This window comes from Homo sapiens, chromosome 10 (assembly GCF_000001405.40).
Source record: "Homo sapiens chromosome 10, GRCh38.p14 Primary Assembly".
Classification (NCBI taxonomy): Eukaryota; Metazoa; Chordata; class Mammalia; order Primates; family Hominidae; genus Homo; species Homo sapiens.
The window spans coordinates 92,510,185-92,527,387 of NC_000010.11; the positions used below are offsets into that span (position 1 = coordinate 92,510,185).

A 17,203-nucleotide genomic window follows, 5' to 3' on the forward strand; every position below is an offset into this window, starting at 1 on the left:
AACAGAACTTAAGCGAATCATAACATCCAACAGGGAGTGCTTAAAATCTTAGGATCTCCTGAAAAGTCTCAGTACTACTGAAAGGAAAATGTGAAAATGATTACACCTCACACCTATCTGTTTCTACTTTAAAAAATTATTCACAAATATTATTCAAAATATTATTTCACAAGTATTATAATAAAATTAAAACAAATATTAGAAACAATAATAATTGCATTTGGAAAAATGACTATGATTCCCAACAGGCATATATACTGAACTACTAGCAGATAGAGTATAATGTTCACCTTATACATAGACAGAGAATTGCCTTCTATGGTATAAAATTATCTTTTGTGCCTTTAAATGTATTTGCATTTTATTTATAAAAGACGCCTATTTTTACTTTAGTTTTTTGACACGTATGAAGGACTCCAAAATGCACATTTTATATGTGTGTGTGTATATATATATCACATATATGATATATATCACATACATCTCACATATATGATATATATCACATACATCTCACATATATGATATATATCACATACATCTCACATGTATGAAATATAGCACATACATCTCACATATATGATATATAGCACATACATCTCACATGATATATAGCACATACATATCACATATATGATATATAGCACATACATATCACACATATGATATATATCACATATATATCACATACATGATATATCACATATATCATATATATGATATTAGCAAAATTCTACTTTTGGAAGTATAACAAGAAATGAGTTAGATCTTTGAGAAGAGGGCACAGCAGTCATAGGATGGAATAAAGAACAGCTTGCTTTTTATTTTATACCTTTCTGTGTGGAATTAAATTTTTTCCATTTGTACAAATTACTATTATCCTAAAAAGAAAGCAGTGTTAAAAAAAAAAAAAAAAACTTTTTTTTTTTTTTTTTGAAGCAAGGTATTGCTCTGTTGCACAGGCTGGAGTGCAGTGGCACAATCCCAGCTAACTGCAACCTCTGCCTCCCAGGTTCAAGTGATTCTCATGTCTCAGCCTCCCCAGTAGCTGGGATTACAGGCGTGTGCCACCACACCCTGTTAGTTTTTTGTATTTTTAATAGAGACAGGGTTTCACCATGTTGCCCAGGCTGGTCTCAAACTCCTGAGCTCAAGTGATCTGCCTACCTCAGCCTCCCAAAGTGCTGGAATTACAGATGTGAGCCACCATGCCTGGCCAAAACCTGTCTTTTTATAAACAAGATAACCTCTCATCTTGATTCTGTCTCCTCAAAAATAGGTTATTTATAAATGGTATAAACATTCATAACCTGTTACTGTCAGTAAGCATTTGAATCAAATAAGATTCTTGCCTTGATATTCTATGACCCATTTGGAACTTTTCCATGAATTCTCGAGAGTACTAAATGACTATTTGAGAGCTGCCTTTATATGGTGTAAAATTCTCTTTTGTGCCTTTAAGTGTAGGCATTTGCATTTTATTTATAAAATATACCTACTTTTGCCTCAATTTTTTTGACATGTATGAAGGACTCCAAAATGTCCAGAGCCAAATAAAAGGCAGATCAGTGGCTGCCTATTATATGACAAGTGAATTTAGGAATGGAGAAGGAATATTGTAGCAAGAGATGTCAGAGACATCTTTTTGCAGATGGGACATATGACTTGAAACAAGGTGAGCAGTCAATAAAGGTTTGTGGGCCTGCAGTACTGGTGACAGCAACACCCTGAGCAAGGTTCTACCAGGTGTATCTTTCCTCTTGCGTATTTCTACCCTAAAAGCATAAATTCACAGTGTCACTTTTTAAAGGTAAGGGAGCTAAACACTATTGCACAGTCTGTCTACCCCACTAAACTGTGAGCTCCCCAGACATCAGGGAACTGAGTCCCACTCACCTTCATATCATCAAGGTTTGGCAACCTCAGTGTCTGTACTTGATGATTACCTATGTGGCAAGTGTTCAGATAATTAGTGCTTCCACAACTAGGGAGACAGCTCCAGGCAAGAACAGAAAAACTTTTTGTTCCCTTGTGACAGAGATCCTTCCACATGGTTACTCTTCCTCTCTCCTCCCGTCAAAAGAAGGAGTGGATTATCTTTTAATCCTCCAAGAGATCCAGTTTCCTCCTCATACCTCTATACTGTAAAGACATCTCTCTCTGGTTCAGCACAGGAAGTCAGTCACAATGGGAGAGTGATGTGTATGGATCAGAGAATTGAGACACTTTATTTTTTAGATTCTTATTCTGTCATTTCCACTAAACCAAGAACATTCTGAGGACAGGGATCAGGTTTGATTCATCTATTGCCATTGTTACTTGCCTATTAAATGTTTACTGAAATCATGTGTTTAATCTCAAATACAACATAGATTAAAAAAAAAAAAAAACACCCAGCTTTGGCACCTAATCCCAGGACTGGGTTCTAAACAGCAAGTGATATTTTAACATTCTAAACCCACCTACCTGAAGCAAGCACATAGCATTACAGAGTATGCTTTTTTTTTACTGTCCTCACTCCCTGAATCCATTTTACACCCTGGTTCTTGCTACCAACTTAAAAAATAGTTTATTTTCTAACTATAAAAGTAACATTTGCCAATAGCAGAAAACTTAGAAACAAAAGCTAAATTATGGTAACAAAAGTTACCATAATTTCATGATTATAAAGGTGCTAGAGTGGCTACTACTGTTTATGGAGCATTTGCTATGTGCCATGCACCTTGCTAAACACTTTGTATTATCTCAATTAAACCTCACAACAGGTACAATGTACCACCCACCACTTTACAAATGTGAAAACTGAAGTTTGAAAAACCTAAGTAAGTTTGTTAGCTCATAGCCACACAGCTAAGTAAGTGGTATATTTGGAATGAAAAGCCAGGTTGTTGGACTGTAGAATGTGAGTTCTTAATTACTATACAACATTATTAAATTTCTAGTACATGCTTTTCCATTTTGTCTTTTACCTACACCATATATGGTATATTAGAGTTTTTGGTGTTTTTTGTTGTCGTTTGTTTTTTGAGATGGAGTCTCACTCTGTTGCCCAGGCTGGAGTGCAGTGGCACAATCTTGGCTCACTGCAGCCTCCACCCCCCAGGTTCAAGTGATTCTCCTGCCTCAGCCTCCCAACTAGCTGGGATTACAGGTGCCCGCCACCATGCCCGGTTAATTTTTATATTTTTAGTAGAGATGGGGTTTCGCCATGTTGGCTGGGCTGGTCTCAAACTCCTGACCACAAGTGATCCACCTGCCTCGGCCTTCCGAAGTGCTGGAATTACAGGTGTGAGCCACTGTGCCTGGACCCTATTAGAGTTTTTAAAAATTTTGTGGGGGGGATATGTCTTGGAATTTTTAATAAATCCCAAAATGGGACCATATAGCACATGTTTTTGTAAACAGCTTTTGTTTTCTCTTTAATATATTAAGAACATTTTAAAAATTATATTCTTATATATAATATACATATATTAATTAAAAATGTTTAGTTATATATGCACATATAAGAACATATATTCATATATATGAGAATATATTAAGAATATCTTCCCATGGTATTAAAATGCTGTCATAAAACTGTTTATTCATTCAATATATATTTACCTATGATGTGCCAAGCACGAGCCCAGGTACTGAGGATAAAGCAGTGAACAAAACAAAGTTTCTATTCTCAAGTAATTTACACTTTGGTAGGGTGGACAACAAAAACACACAAATATTTAATACCTGAGGTATTAATACTATAAAGAAAAAGCAGGTAAGATGGAAAGTAGAATAGGAAATGTTATTTTTCTATAAGATATTCTATTTGCAATTATAAAATCAGTATTTAGCCAATCTCCTATTAACATTTAGATTTCTAAATTTTCGCTAATATGTACTATACTGACAGAAACATCCTTTTATATCTCCTATTTGAACTCTGATTATTTCCTGAGATTGCATTTTTAAAAGTAAAAATGCATCTTTACTTTTAAGACTGATACTGTTAAACTGCCCTCCAGAAAGACTAGAGCAATTGATACCATCATTACCAATATAAAAAAGCAACACCATCGGCAGTGGGTATTACTTCAAAACAAAACTGTGATAATTTAACAGCAGGAAACAATGTTAGTAGTTAATCTGCATTTTAAAAATCAAACCATTGTTTACATTCCAAATGGTTTCCCAAGTTTATCATCATCTGCTTTTTTTTTTTCCAGTTTTTTGAATTGTTATAAGGTCAAATCTGCCAATCTTTGTCCTTTTTGTGTGTTTTTTTTTAATATGAGATCTCTCTCTGCCACCCAGGCTGGAGTGCAGTGGTGTGGTGATCACAGCCTTTAACTGCAGCCTTTAACTCCTGGGCTCAAGCGATCTTCAGCCTCCCTAGCAGCTAGGACTACAGGTGCAGACTACCACATCCCACTAATTTAAAAAAATTTTTTTTGGTAGAGACAGGATCTTACTATGTTGCCCAGGCTGGGCTTGCCTTGCTTTTATATGCTTAGAGCACCTATTACTGTAGTAATTTGTATTTTTTTTCAGATCTCCACTTAAACTTCTTTTGGGAACACAATGATTTAAACATAAAAATCCCCACCTATGTATTCTCTAACAAGTAGATCATTTTCAAAAGATGCTGAGCAAATAAGCAGCTCTATCTTATATCCATCTTCTAACACTGTGAAAAAGCCAACATTAAAAACTTATATTATCCAATTCTATAAAAAATTGTAAGGGTTCTTACCTCGACCTAAAACACAAACAGCCATTAAGTTGGATGAATAGTAAGCAGAATGGAATTTCAGTAGCTCTTGTCTTACATCAATGCCTTCTTGGTTTGGTCTAGTCTCCAGAGTATATTTGTTACCTGGAAGGGAAGAAAAGGGATTTCTTAGAAAAAGCAAAATATGTGGACTTTTAAAGTTTTGTAATTATCACTGATATTGCTTAAGATGAACTTTAAAAATAAAGTTCTAATACACAGAATAACTCAAATTTATTTGAATGTTAAGTGAATAAACAGGATAATAGAGTACAAACCAGCAACATTTTAAACTATAGTCGTCTCTACGGAATTAAAAGTGTCTTTTTTTTTTTTTTTTGAGACGGAGTCTTGCTCTGTTGCCCAGGCTGGAGTGCGGTGGTGTGATCTCGGCTCACTGCAAGCTCCGCCTCCCGGGTTCACGCCATTCTCCTGCCTCAGCCTCCCAAGTAGCTGGGACTACAGGCGCCCACCACGACACCTGGCTAATTTTTTGTATTTTTAGTAGAGATGGGGTTTCACTGTGTTAGCCAGGCTGGTCTCGATCTCCTGACCTCGTGATCCGCCCGCCTCAGCCTCCCAAAGTGCTGGGATTACAGGCATGAGCAACCGCGCACCCGGCCTTTTTTTTTTTTTTTTTTGAGACGGAATTTCGCTTTTATTGCTCAGGCTGGAGTGCAATGGCGTGATCTCGGCTCACCCCAACCTCCGCCTCCCGGGTTCAAGTGATTCTCCTGCCTCTGCCTCTCTAGTAGCTGGATTACAGGCATGCGCCACCACGCCCGGCTAATTTTGTATTTTTAGTAGAGATGGGGTTTCTCCATGTTGGTCAGGCTGGTCTTGAACTCCCGACCTCAGGTGATCTGCCTGCCTCGGCCTCCCAAAATGCTGGGATTACAGGCCTGAGCCACCAAGCCCGGCCTAAAAGTGTCTTATAAAAATTATACTTTTGGCCGGGTGCATGGCTCACGCCTATAATCCAAGCACTTTGGGAGGCCGAGGCAGGCAGATCACCTGAGGTCAGGAGTTCAAGACCAGCCTGACAAACATGGAGAAACACCGTCTCTACTAAAAATACAAAATTAGCCAGGCGTGGTGGCACATGCCTGTAATCCCAGCTACTTGGGAGGTTGAGGCAGGAGAATCACTTGAACCCAGGAGGCAGAAGTTGCGGTGAGCCGAAATCACGCCGAGTCAAGATTGTGCCATTGCACTCTAGCCTGGGCAACAAGACGGAAACTCCGTCTCAAAAAAAAAAAAAAATTATACTTCTTGGCTGGGCTCAGTGGCTCACATCTGTAATCCCAGCACTTTGGGAGGCCAAGATGGGTGGATCACCTGAGGTGAGGAGTTCAAGACCAGCCTGGCCAACGTGGTGAAAACCCCTCTCTATTAAAAATACAAAAATTAGCCAGGCATGGTGGTGGGCACCTGTAGTCTCGGCTACTCGGGAGGCTGAGGGATGAGAATCACTTGAACCCAGGAGGCAGAGGTTGCATTGAGCCAAGATTGTACCACTGCACTCCTGGGCAACAGAGTGAGACTCTGTCTCAAAAAAATATGTCTATATCTGTATCTATATCTCCACTTCTTAAAATCCCTATGAGATAGTAGGTATTATGAGTGCTTAAAAGACAAAATAAGATCCACATGGCCTCCATTCATGCTTATTTTAATTTTCAATTCCCTATGTACTCCATAATTAATTGAACAGAGTCACTGAGGGATTTTTTTAGAACTTGCCAAGTTACTTGTGGAAAGAAATTTACTATTTTGGGCCAAACCATTAAATTTGTGATGTGAATTCTCATAGATGTGATCTAGACTGGTTAAAAAAAGGATGCAATGCTATTTTTATAACTCTCCAGCGATGTATGTAGTGTACCACTAACAGCTCTCATGAAATCTTAATAACTAATTCAAGTAGGGTAAAATATGTAAGTCAAAAACAAATAGTCAAATTCTCTAAATAATACCTTGCAAATTAGGGACTGGGAGATGAAATTCCAATGATCGGTGTCTCTCCAAAATGGCATCTTGACTGGAAATATCCTAAGATCCTGGCATAATAACTTTTATTATTGGTTCTACTTACACTACTAAGTGAGATCCTGTCTTTCTTCTGCAGAGATAAAACTATGGTAGAGTATGTTCTTGAAGTGGTTTAATTTTTTTTTCTTGTGTTTTTATAATATCTGATATAGGGGCACTGGGAAAGTCCCTCTTTCATGAAATTGGATGTCTACAGAAAGCCACCAGATGGCGCTCTCAAACTCAGTCTTTAGCTCAGTAGTGCTGCACAGTACTAAGATTCCTGTCCCAGAATGCTTAACAGATCCAGTGAAGACAGAATGTGCAAGAAACAGCCTAGCAAGTAACCTTAACCTTAACTCATTAACCTTTTCCTAGTCACAAAGTAATCATATGCATTCATACTCACTAGAAGTAGCCTATCACCCAAGTTTCCAGGTTGTTCTTGTTTTTGTTTAAGATAGGGTCTTACTCTGTTGCCCAGGCTAGACTGCAGTGGTGTAATCACAGCTCACTGCAGCCTCGATCTCCTGGGCTCAAGCAGTCCTTCTACCTCAGCCTCCAGAGTAGCTGGGACCACAAGCATTTACCATCACGTCCAGCTATTTTTTTAATTATTTTTATTTTTTTTGGTAGAACCAGGGTCTATGTTACCCAGGTTGGTTCCAGGTTCTTAATTAGTTCTCTCATTTTCTCACTAATGACCAGTTCAAGCTGGGCACAGTGGATCATGCCTGTAATCCCAGCACTTTGGGAGGCCAAGGCAGGTGCATCACTTGAGGCCAGGAGTTCAAGACCAGCCTGGCAAGCATGGTGGCATGCCTATCATCCCAGCTACTCAGGAGGCTGAGGCATGAGAATCACTTGAAACCAGGAGGCAGAGACTGCAGTGAGCCAAGATCACACCACTGCACTCCAGCCTGGGTGACAGAGTGAGACTCTGTCTGATTGATTGATAGATAAATAAAATAATATAAATAAATAAATAAGACCTAGTTCTGCTTTACTGCCCAGAGAGGTCCTGAGACATTCTCTATTCTCTCACTCTACCTGAGGGGTCCAGATGCTCTTAGGTGCATACCCATAGTCCTAACTCCTTAGGGAAAAAAAAAGGCCTTTTGCTGGAGAATGTTTGAAGTTCTCTCGTATCAAGGTGAAATTTGAGTATTGATGAAGCCTTTCTTTTCTACTAAATGAAGATTCTAAAAGCCACAGTTCTAGAGGGAGTTTTGCTTAAGCTCCTTAGTGCTTTACACTGCCATCTCGGCTCACTGCAACCTCCACCTCCAAGATTCAATTGATTCTCCTGGGGCCAGATATCTTCTGACTGCATGGCCTTGAACAAGTTACTTTACTTCTCTGTGGCTCAATCTCCTCAACTGACATTAGTGGACTTACAGTACATAATGAGAAAAATACACGTAAAAAAAGTATAAGACTATTACTTAACAAAAATGTTAAAGTCTTACGACACCAACTGTTGTTTAGTATGCAGAGAATGAGAACTCAGACACTGCCTGATGGAGTGCATCTTGAATCAACCGCTACAGGAAACAACCTAGTCAATCTGAAGATGTCCATATCCTACTACATAGTAATTCCACTCCTGGATATATGTATCCAGAGAAGTCTGTGTACAAGGAGACATGTACAACAATTCCATAGTAACACTGTTTCATTAACAGGAAAATGAATAAATAGTGGTACAGTCATTCAATGAATTTTTCAAAGAGCAATAAAATACAAAAATTATCAGAGGAATACTCATCAATATGGACAACTCTTACAAAACAAAATGTTGAATGAAAAAATACAAGCGGCAGAGATTACACACAATAAAATACTATTTCCATGAAACCTAAAAACATATAAAACTATAAACACGGAAATGATAATCATTAAAGAAGATAGTGGTTATCTCTCAGGAGCAGGAAGGAAAATGCAACTGAAGTGTACACCGGATGCTCAAAGTGCATTTGTAACGTTCTCTTTCTTTAAGCAGTGTGACAGAGAATGATCTGGCAAATGTCTGTGTACCTACCTCTTTGTATGACAACTACATCATAAATCTGTAAAAATACTGAAGTATTTAACATAATACTTAATAAATAAACAACGGAAAATAAACAACAAACAGTAGCTACTGCTGTTACAATTTGAATTGTAGGAAGGACTCTTGGCTTCTGAGTGAATCATTATACAAAAAGATGTACTCCCCAGAGAAAAAAATAGAAATTGTGGCTAGAAGCTGAGTAAATGGTCCAGATGACTGCCCCCCAACACCTAAGAAACCATGTATGGAGAACAACGTGAATAAGGCTGGGATAATAAATACCAATTCAGTCTCTAGACACATACTGTCCTAATTTTGTGCTCATTCAGCTGGGTCATTTATGTCAAATTAAAATGCTGCTACTTGTACTAAAATCTTGAATCCTACCTTTCTGGCTCTGTTGCATCCAGGTGAGCTCCAGCAGTGAATGGAGGAGCAGGGTTGCTCACCTACTGTGACCCTTCCACTCTACGCCTGCTAGGAGAGAACACTGCCTTGGCATTTAGGAATTCAGGGATTCTTGTCCTGACTCCATCATGTGCTAATTAAGCAACCTTGGAAAAGTCTCCAAATATCTCCAAGGGGTCATTTATTTCATCTGTAAAATAGGGATAATATGGATATATGTCCAGGTGCTAAAAGCAAGGAAAGGCTCAATCCCTGACTCTCCTTCATTTCCTAGCTGTGAGACACAGGCAGGTTTCTTAACCTCTCTTACGCCTCAGTTTACTTATTCATAAATGGGCATAATAAGAGGACCAACCTCACAGGATTGCTGTGAGAATTAAAATATAAATAATCTGCCAGGCGCGGTGGCTGACACCTGTAATCACAACACTTTAGGAGGCTGAGGCAGGCGGATCACCTGAGGTCAGGAGCTTGAGACCAGCCTGGCCAACATGGCAAAACCCCGTCCTACTAAAAATACAAAAATTAGCCAGGCATGGTGGTGGTCACCTGTAGTCCCAGCTACTCGGGGAGGCCGAGGCAGGAGAATCGCTTGAACCTGGGAGGTGGAGGTTGCAGTAAGCCGAAATCAAGCCACTGCACTCCAGCCTGGGTGACAGAGCAAGACTCCATCTCATAAATAAATAAATAATCCATGTTAAGGCTCAGCATAGCATCTATCAGACAATAATTACTGAATATTAACATGGGGTTTTGTGAAGCCTAAGAAATGTAATAATGGATGCGAAGAGGGGTTGGTAAATTGTAAAATCCAGTAAGTGCTACTTTATATTTTCATTTTAACAACTATTTTAAATTCTGTTTAGAACAAATAAAGCTTACAAACTCAGCACTAATGTATATGAATACTGATTTTCAAGGGAATAAAATTTATTTTCCTGGAAAATTCTGAAGCCAGCAATATATTTCTTATACTGGGAAGGAATGAGTTTTAAGTTTTAGAAACGTCTTAGAAACCACAGGTTTCTCCAATAGTATGTTCTCAGGGAAAGGTCAACTTGATAGTTATAACCCATTATAATTTTATATGTTCTCTGAAAACCCAAGATCCTGAAAGTTAGGCTAACATACCTATAGCTAGTTACTTGGAATTATTATAAACTTTTTAAAAAGCCCTTTCTTCTTGCTATAGCAATCTTCTAAAAATCCTGGAAGTGAGAGACTAAAGCCTTTTGATATATGTGAATTTTCCCACAAAATTTAAACCGACAATTCCTCTGCAGCTGAGTAAGTATATGCAAGTACAAGATATGAGTTATAAAAGGGGACTTTAAGTGAAAACCTCTTAAATGCCATCAGAAAACACTCCTACACTTGATTGGTCCAGCTCTTGTTTTCAGTAAATTTCTAGTTTTCCACAGACACATATCCCAGTAACGAGAAAAAAGATAGTAACAAAATCCATGGAAAAGCTAAGGGAACAATAAATGATTACATGGACTAAAATATATGAAATGTTTTTACATCCATGAGTCTATGTGATACTCAAAAAACAAATTAGTCACCCTGAAGGATGCTGACGAACCAATTCATTATTTTGAAAATTGGTAAATAAATGGAATGGAATAAAAGCATTTATCCTGCCTTTCCCACAGTAACTGTACCACTGACTAGCCAAATAGTAGAAAAGGAGATTTTACAGCAGTACTCAAGTTAATCAAAAGAGATGGAATAATAGAATTAGCATTAGAAAAACCAAAATTAGGGAGGTGATGCACTGAGAATCAATATTTGCAACATCATAAATGACCAGACATTGTATGCCCAATGGAAAAATACATCACCACCTATGAAGATGTCTTGTCAAAAAGTCAAACACAAATTTGATCAAGCCTCTATATCCAACTGCCAATTTGTAGAAATACAGAAGACAGAGGAACTTGTTAAACTACATTGTTAGGGGTGCAGTAAAAAAAAAAAAATCTAGGCTATGAGAAGTTCGATAAAACAAACAACCTGATTATTCAATAAATAAATTCCAAGAGGGGAGTGAGGGGAAGGAGTAGAGGAAGAGATGAAGGATGAACTCTTAAACTAAAAAGAGACTTAAAAGACATATCAGACTGGAGTGGTGGCTCACTTTGGGTGACTCACTTTGGGGTCCTAGCACTTTGGGTGGTCAAGGTGGGAGAATCGCTTGAAACTAGGATTTCAAGACAAGCCTGGACAACATAGTGAGATCCTGTCTCTACAAAAATTAAAATAATAATAATAATAATAATGAAAGACATATCAAACAATCACTAATATGTAATACTTATTTGGACTCTGATTCAAATAAACTTTAAAAATAATGATTTTTATAAGAACACTAGAAATTTGAACACTAACTGGATATTTGATAATAATGGTAACAATAATGGTATTTTTATGTTTTTAAAAATGAATTGCTATGTTTTAGAGATATATACTGAAATATTTATGAGCAAAATGATATCTAGAATCTCTTCAAAATAATACAAAAGGGTGAATGGAAATGTGGATTGTACAGAATTGGCCAGGGGCAGGGTGATGCACACATAGGGTCATTATAGTATTTTGTGTTCTTTTGTGTATGTTTTAAATTCTTCACAAAAAAAAAATGGTGAAGGGAAGAAAAGAGGAAATAAGGGTGGGAGGGAAGAGAGAAAAAAGTAATTGAACTTGTATTAGAGTCTGATTTGGTGTGTTATTATGTTTACCACAGGATCAGGAGTCACTGAACTACCCTCTGGTTCATATTCCACAATTTTATTGGGTTCTCTTTTTCTATTCTATTCCTTCCTACTTCTCTATGCAAAAGCATCCTTTGTTATACTCAAACTATCCTAACTCATGTTCTCCAAAAGAAACCAGGCTCACTCCTTGGTCTTTTCTTCATGTCATGGTTTTGGGGGTCAACTTAATTACTATCATGAAGAACATAGGCTTTGAGTTCAGACTGACTTGATAATTGAATTCCATAACCTATACAGATAGTTCCACTACCACCCTATCTCTCTCCTCTCTGTACTCCCTGCAAGACTAAAACATTAGTCAAATACAACAAATATTAGTTCCTTTTCTTTTTCCCCTTGAATGGCTCTTCCTTCTGCTTAAGGAAATCTTATCTATACTTCAGGAGAAGTGAAACTGCATCTCCGCTAAGATCCTGGAGAAATAAATTCTGGGCAACACTAAAACATGCAAAATAGAATAGTGTTTAAAAGCTCCAAATCTGGGCACAGATCCTGACTCCAGCACTTAAAAGCTGAGGGACCCAAGGCAATTTAATTATCTTAAGTCTTAATCTACTCATGTAAGATGGAAATATGAGCATCTACCTACTGGGGTTACTGTGAGAATTATTAGAAATTAAATAATCCACGTAAAGTGCTTAGCATAGCACTCAATAAAAATTAGCAAGAAAAAGGAGGAAGAAAATGGAGAGATGATGATCCTGGAAAATCAAAGCTAAAATTACACTCAGTGAAATCCTGGGTTTGCCTTGCTTCCCCAACTAAACTTTCAGCACCTTGAGTGCAATGACACTAGTTACACTTCTTTGCATTTTCTAATGCACTTTACATGTAGGGGGACTAAAAAAATTACTTATTAACTGAGAGAGAGAAAATTTGGGCTCATTTATATTTATAATCCTATGAACTTGGAATAAGCATACTAGAGTAAATAGCAGCGGAGTCAGGCAGATGACCTGAGCTCAGAAGTTCGAGACTAGCCTGGGCGACATGGTGAAACCCTGTCTCTACTAAAAATACAAAAACTAGCCAGGTGTGATGGCACCTGCCTTTAATCCCAGCTACTTCAGAGGCTGAGGCAGGAGAATCGTTTGAACCCAGGAGATGGAAGCTGTAGTGAGCCGAGATCATGCGACCGCACTCCAGTCTGAATGACAGAAGGAAACCCTGTCTCAAAGAAAGAAAAGAAAAGAAAGAAATTTTCTTTCTTTTCACTTGCTGGGCACAGTGGCTCACACCATAATCCTAGCACTCTGGGAGGCCAAGGCAGGCAAATGACCTGAGGTCAGGAATTCGAGACCAGCCTGGCCAACATGGTCTCTACTTAAAAAAAAAAAAAAAAAAATTAGTTAGGCATTGTGGTATGTGCCTATAATCCCAGCAACTTGGGTGGCTGAGACATGATAACCACTTAAACCTAGGAGGCGGAGGTTGCAGTGAGCCAAGATCATGCCATGTCACTTCAGCATGGGCGACAAGAGTAAGACTCAGTCTTAAAAAAAAAAAAAAAAAAAAGTCACGCACACCTAAAATACAGCTCCACCCTCTATATTCTTGTCTTCAACTGTGCCTTTCATTCTACCTATACATGAAGGAGTACCTGTTTTGTTGTTCCCACTCACTCTTTGACCTCCTTCTTTTATTTCCCTCCCAGCTGAATAAACCCAGTTGCTCCCACAGTGTCGGTAGAGTTATGTTTGGAGAAACAGATCAGTAAGGAATAACCAGAACTAAGTTTTTCCTTTTACTATTCTAAACCTGCTTGTAAACATTCAACTGCTCCTACTTTAATTCCATTGAGAGGCAAACAAAAAAACAAAATAGGGCAGAAAAATGGTTTCTAGTTTATCAGGAACTATGAAACTAAAGGCATATGTGAATAATGAAGAGAAAAAGTGAAAGTGGATACCAACTAAATTCAATAACATATTAAAAATATCATTCAATTCACAAATTAGCTGGGCATGGTGGCAGGCATGTAATCCCAGCTACTTGGGAGGCTGAGGCAGAACTGCTTGAACCCGGGAAGTGGAGGTTACGGTAAGCTGAGATTGTGCCACTGCACTCCAGCCTTGGTGACAGAGTGAGACTCTATCTCAAAAAAATATATATAATATATTATTATATATATTATATTATATATAATATATTTTATATTATAATATATATTATATATAATATATTTTATATAATATATAATATATATTATATTATATATAATATATTTTATATAATATATTTTATATATTATATATTTTATATAATATATAATATATATTATATTATAATATATTTTATATAATATATAATATATATTATATTATAATATATTTTATATTATATATATATTTTATATATAATAATATATATCATTCAACATGATCAAGTGGGATTCATCTCAGGGATGCAAAGATGGTTCAACATAAACAAATCAGGCTGGGCACAGTGGCTCACGCCTGTAATCCCAGCACTTTGAGAGGCCGAGGTGGGTGGATCACCTGAGGTCAGAAGTTTGAGATCAGCCTGGCCAATATAGCAAAACCCCGTCTCTACTAAAAATACAAAAATTAACCAGATGTGGTAATGGGCGCTGCAATCCCAGCTTCTTGAAAGGCTGAGGCAGGAGAATTGCTTGAACACGGAAGTTGCAGTGAGCCGAGATGGCACCACTGTACTCCAGCCTGGGCGAAAGAGTGAGACTCCATCTCAAACAAACAAACAAACAAAAATATATACAAATATATACAAATCAATAAACATGATACATCACAGGGTCAGGTGTAATGGCTCATGCCTGTAATCCCAGCACTTTGGGAGGCCGAGGTGGGTGGATCACTTGAGATCAGGAGTTCAAGACCAGCCTTGCCAACATGGCAAAACACAGTCTCTACTAAAAATACAAAAATTAGCCAGGCGTGTGCCTGTAATCCCAGCTACTGGGGAGGCTGAGGCAAGAGAATCACTTGAACCCGGGAGGCAGAGGTTGCAGTAAGCCGAGATTGCACCATTGCCCTCCAGCCTGGGCAACAGAGTGAGACTGTCTCAAAACAAAATAAAACAAAAACATGATACATCACAGTAACAGAATCAAGGACAAACACCATAAGCTGAAAAAGGCATTCAATAAAATTCAACATCACTTCATGATAAACGTTCTCAACACACTGGGTAGAGAAGGAACATATGTCAAAACAATAAAGGCTGTATATGACAAACTCAGAGCTAACATCATATGGAACAGCGAAAAAGTGAAAGCCTTTGCTCTAAGATCTGAAGAAGACAAGCATCCCCACTTTTACCACTTTATACAGCATAGCACTGGAAGTCCTAGCCAGAGCCATTAGACAAGACATAAAGGGCATCCAAAATGGAAAGAAGTCAAACTGTCATTGTTCGTAGACAACATAATCTTATATTTAGAAAAACCTGAAGACTCTATCAAAAACACCTGTTAGAACTGATAAATGAATTCAGTAAAGTTGCAGGATACAAAAGTCAGCATATCAAAATCAGTAGCATTTCTATATGCCAACAGTGAACAATCTGAAAAAAAAAAAAAAAAAACCAAGAAAGCAATCCCATTTATAATAGCTACAAAAAACAAAAAACAAACACACAACAAAAAAGCCCTCTAAGAACAAACTGAACCAAAAAAGTAAAAGATCTCAGGCTGGGCGCAGTGGCTCACACCTCTAATCCCAGAACTTTGGGAGGCCAAGGTGGGCAGATCACTCGAGCTCAGGAGTTTGAGACCAGCCTGGCCAACATGCGAAACTTCATCTCCACTAAAAATACAAAAATCAGCTGGGCGTTGTGGTGCAAGCCTGTAATCCCATCTACTTGGGAGGCTGAGGCAGAATTACTTGAACCTAGGAGGTGGAGGTTGCAGTGAGCTGAGATGGCGCCACTGCACTCCAGCCTGGGAGAAAGAGCGGGACTCCGTCTCAAAAAAAAAAAAAAAGTAAAGTAAAAGATCTCTACAATGAAAACTATAAAATACTAATAAGAGAAATTAAGGAGGGCATACACAAAAAGGAAAGACATCCTGTGTTCATGGACTGGAAGAACTAATATTGTTAAAATGTCCATACTATCCAAAGCTATCTACAGATTCAATGCAACCCCTATCAAAATACCAATGATATTCTTCACAGAAATAGAAAAAAAAATCCTAAAATCTATATGGAATCAAGACAAGGACTTTTTCAGAATCCTACTGTCCTTTCACAGCTACCAATCAGGTATTATACTATTAATATGATTTATTTAACATTATTATGGGCTTCATATGCACAATCTCATTTAATATTGGCATCAACCTGATGTGGAAAGGAACTGGGGCTTAGAGAAGTTAAGAGGCTGGGCATGATGGTTCATGCCTGTAACCCTAGCACTTTGGGAAGCTGAGGCAGGAGGATCACTTGAGCCTAGGAGTTTGAGACCAGCTTGGGCAACATAGGGAGACCCTATCTCTACAAAAGATTAAATAATTAGCTGAGTGTGGTAGTGTGTGCGTGTAGTCTCAGCTACTTGGGAGGCTGGGGTAGGAGGATCATTTGAGCCCAGGAGGAGGAGGTTACAGAGTGCCAAGATTGCACCACTGCATTCCAGCCTGGGCAACAGGGTGAGGCCCTGTCTCAAAAAAAAAAAAAAAAAAAAAAAAGGACAGGGTCTCACTATGTTGCCTAGACTGGTCTTGAACTTCTGGGTGCAAACCATCCTCCTGCCTCAGCCTCCTGAGAAGCTGCGATTACAGGTGCATACCACCACATCTAGCTTTTTGTGTCTCTTTTGAACAAGGATTTTAAATTTCAATGAGGTCAAGTTTATCTCTAAACCTATGGTTCATCTCTATCTTCATGGGTTTTTCTGTGTGTTTAAGAACATTTCCTCTATCTGAAGATAAAAAAAATTCTCATATATTTTCTTTTAAAAGTTGTAGCGAACCAGACTCAGTGGCACATGTCTGTAGTCTATAGAAAGTCTACATAAAGTCCTAAGAAAGAACTATATTTTTTTCATTTGTAATGTACCTCTGCCTTATATCAAGTTTCCATATGTTTGTGGATGTTTCCAGGGCCTATAATCTGTTCTACTTGTATCTTCATGCACCCCTGCTTCAATTCTACTACTGTAACAACTAGAACTTTATAATAAGTCTTGGTACCTGGTAGAAGTAGC

At 38.0% G+C, this 17,203-nt stretch overlaps 1 protein-coding gene across 16 annotated transcripts in view; it reads right to left on the reverse strand.

The window, feature by feature from the left end:
• The window catches only part of IDE (insulin degrading enzyme), a 122,410-nt gene that overhangs the window by 58,501 nt on the left and 46,706 nt on the right, over positions 1-17,203 (reverse strand). For 15 of the 16 annotated variants that reach the window (NR_136399.2, NM_001322793.2, NM_004969.4 and 12 more), the window contains one exon: positions 4,736-4,858. Coding sequence is in view for 15 of the 16 variants with exons in the window: in NM_001322793.2 (NP_001309722.1) it covers positions 4,736-4,858 (123 nt within the window). In the remaining variant the exon portion in view is untranslated. The remainder of the gene's footprint in view (positions 1-4,735; positions 4,859-17,203) is intronic. The other variant, NM_001322794.2, reaches the window with a different exon arrangement.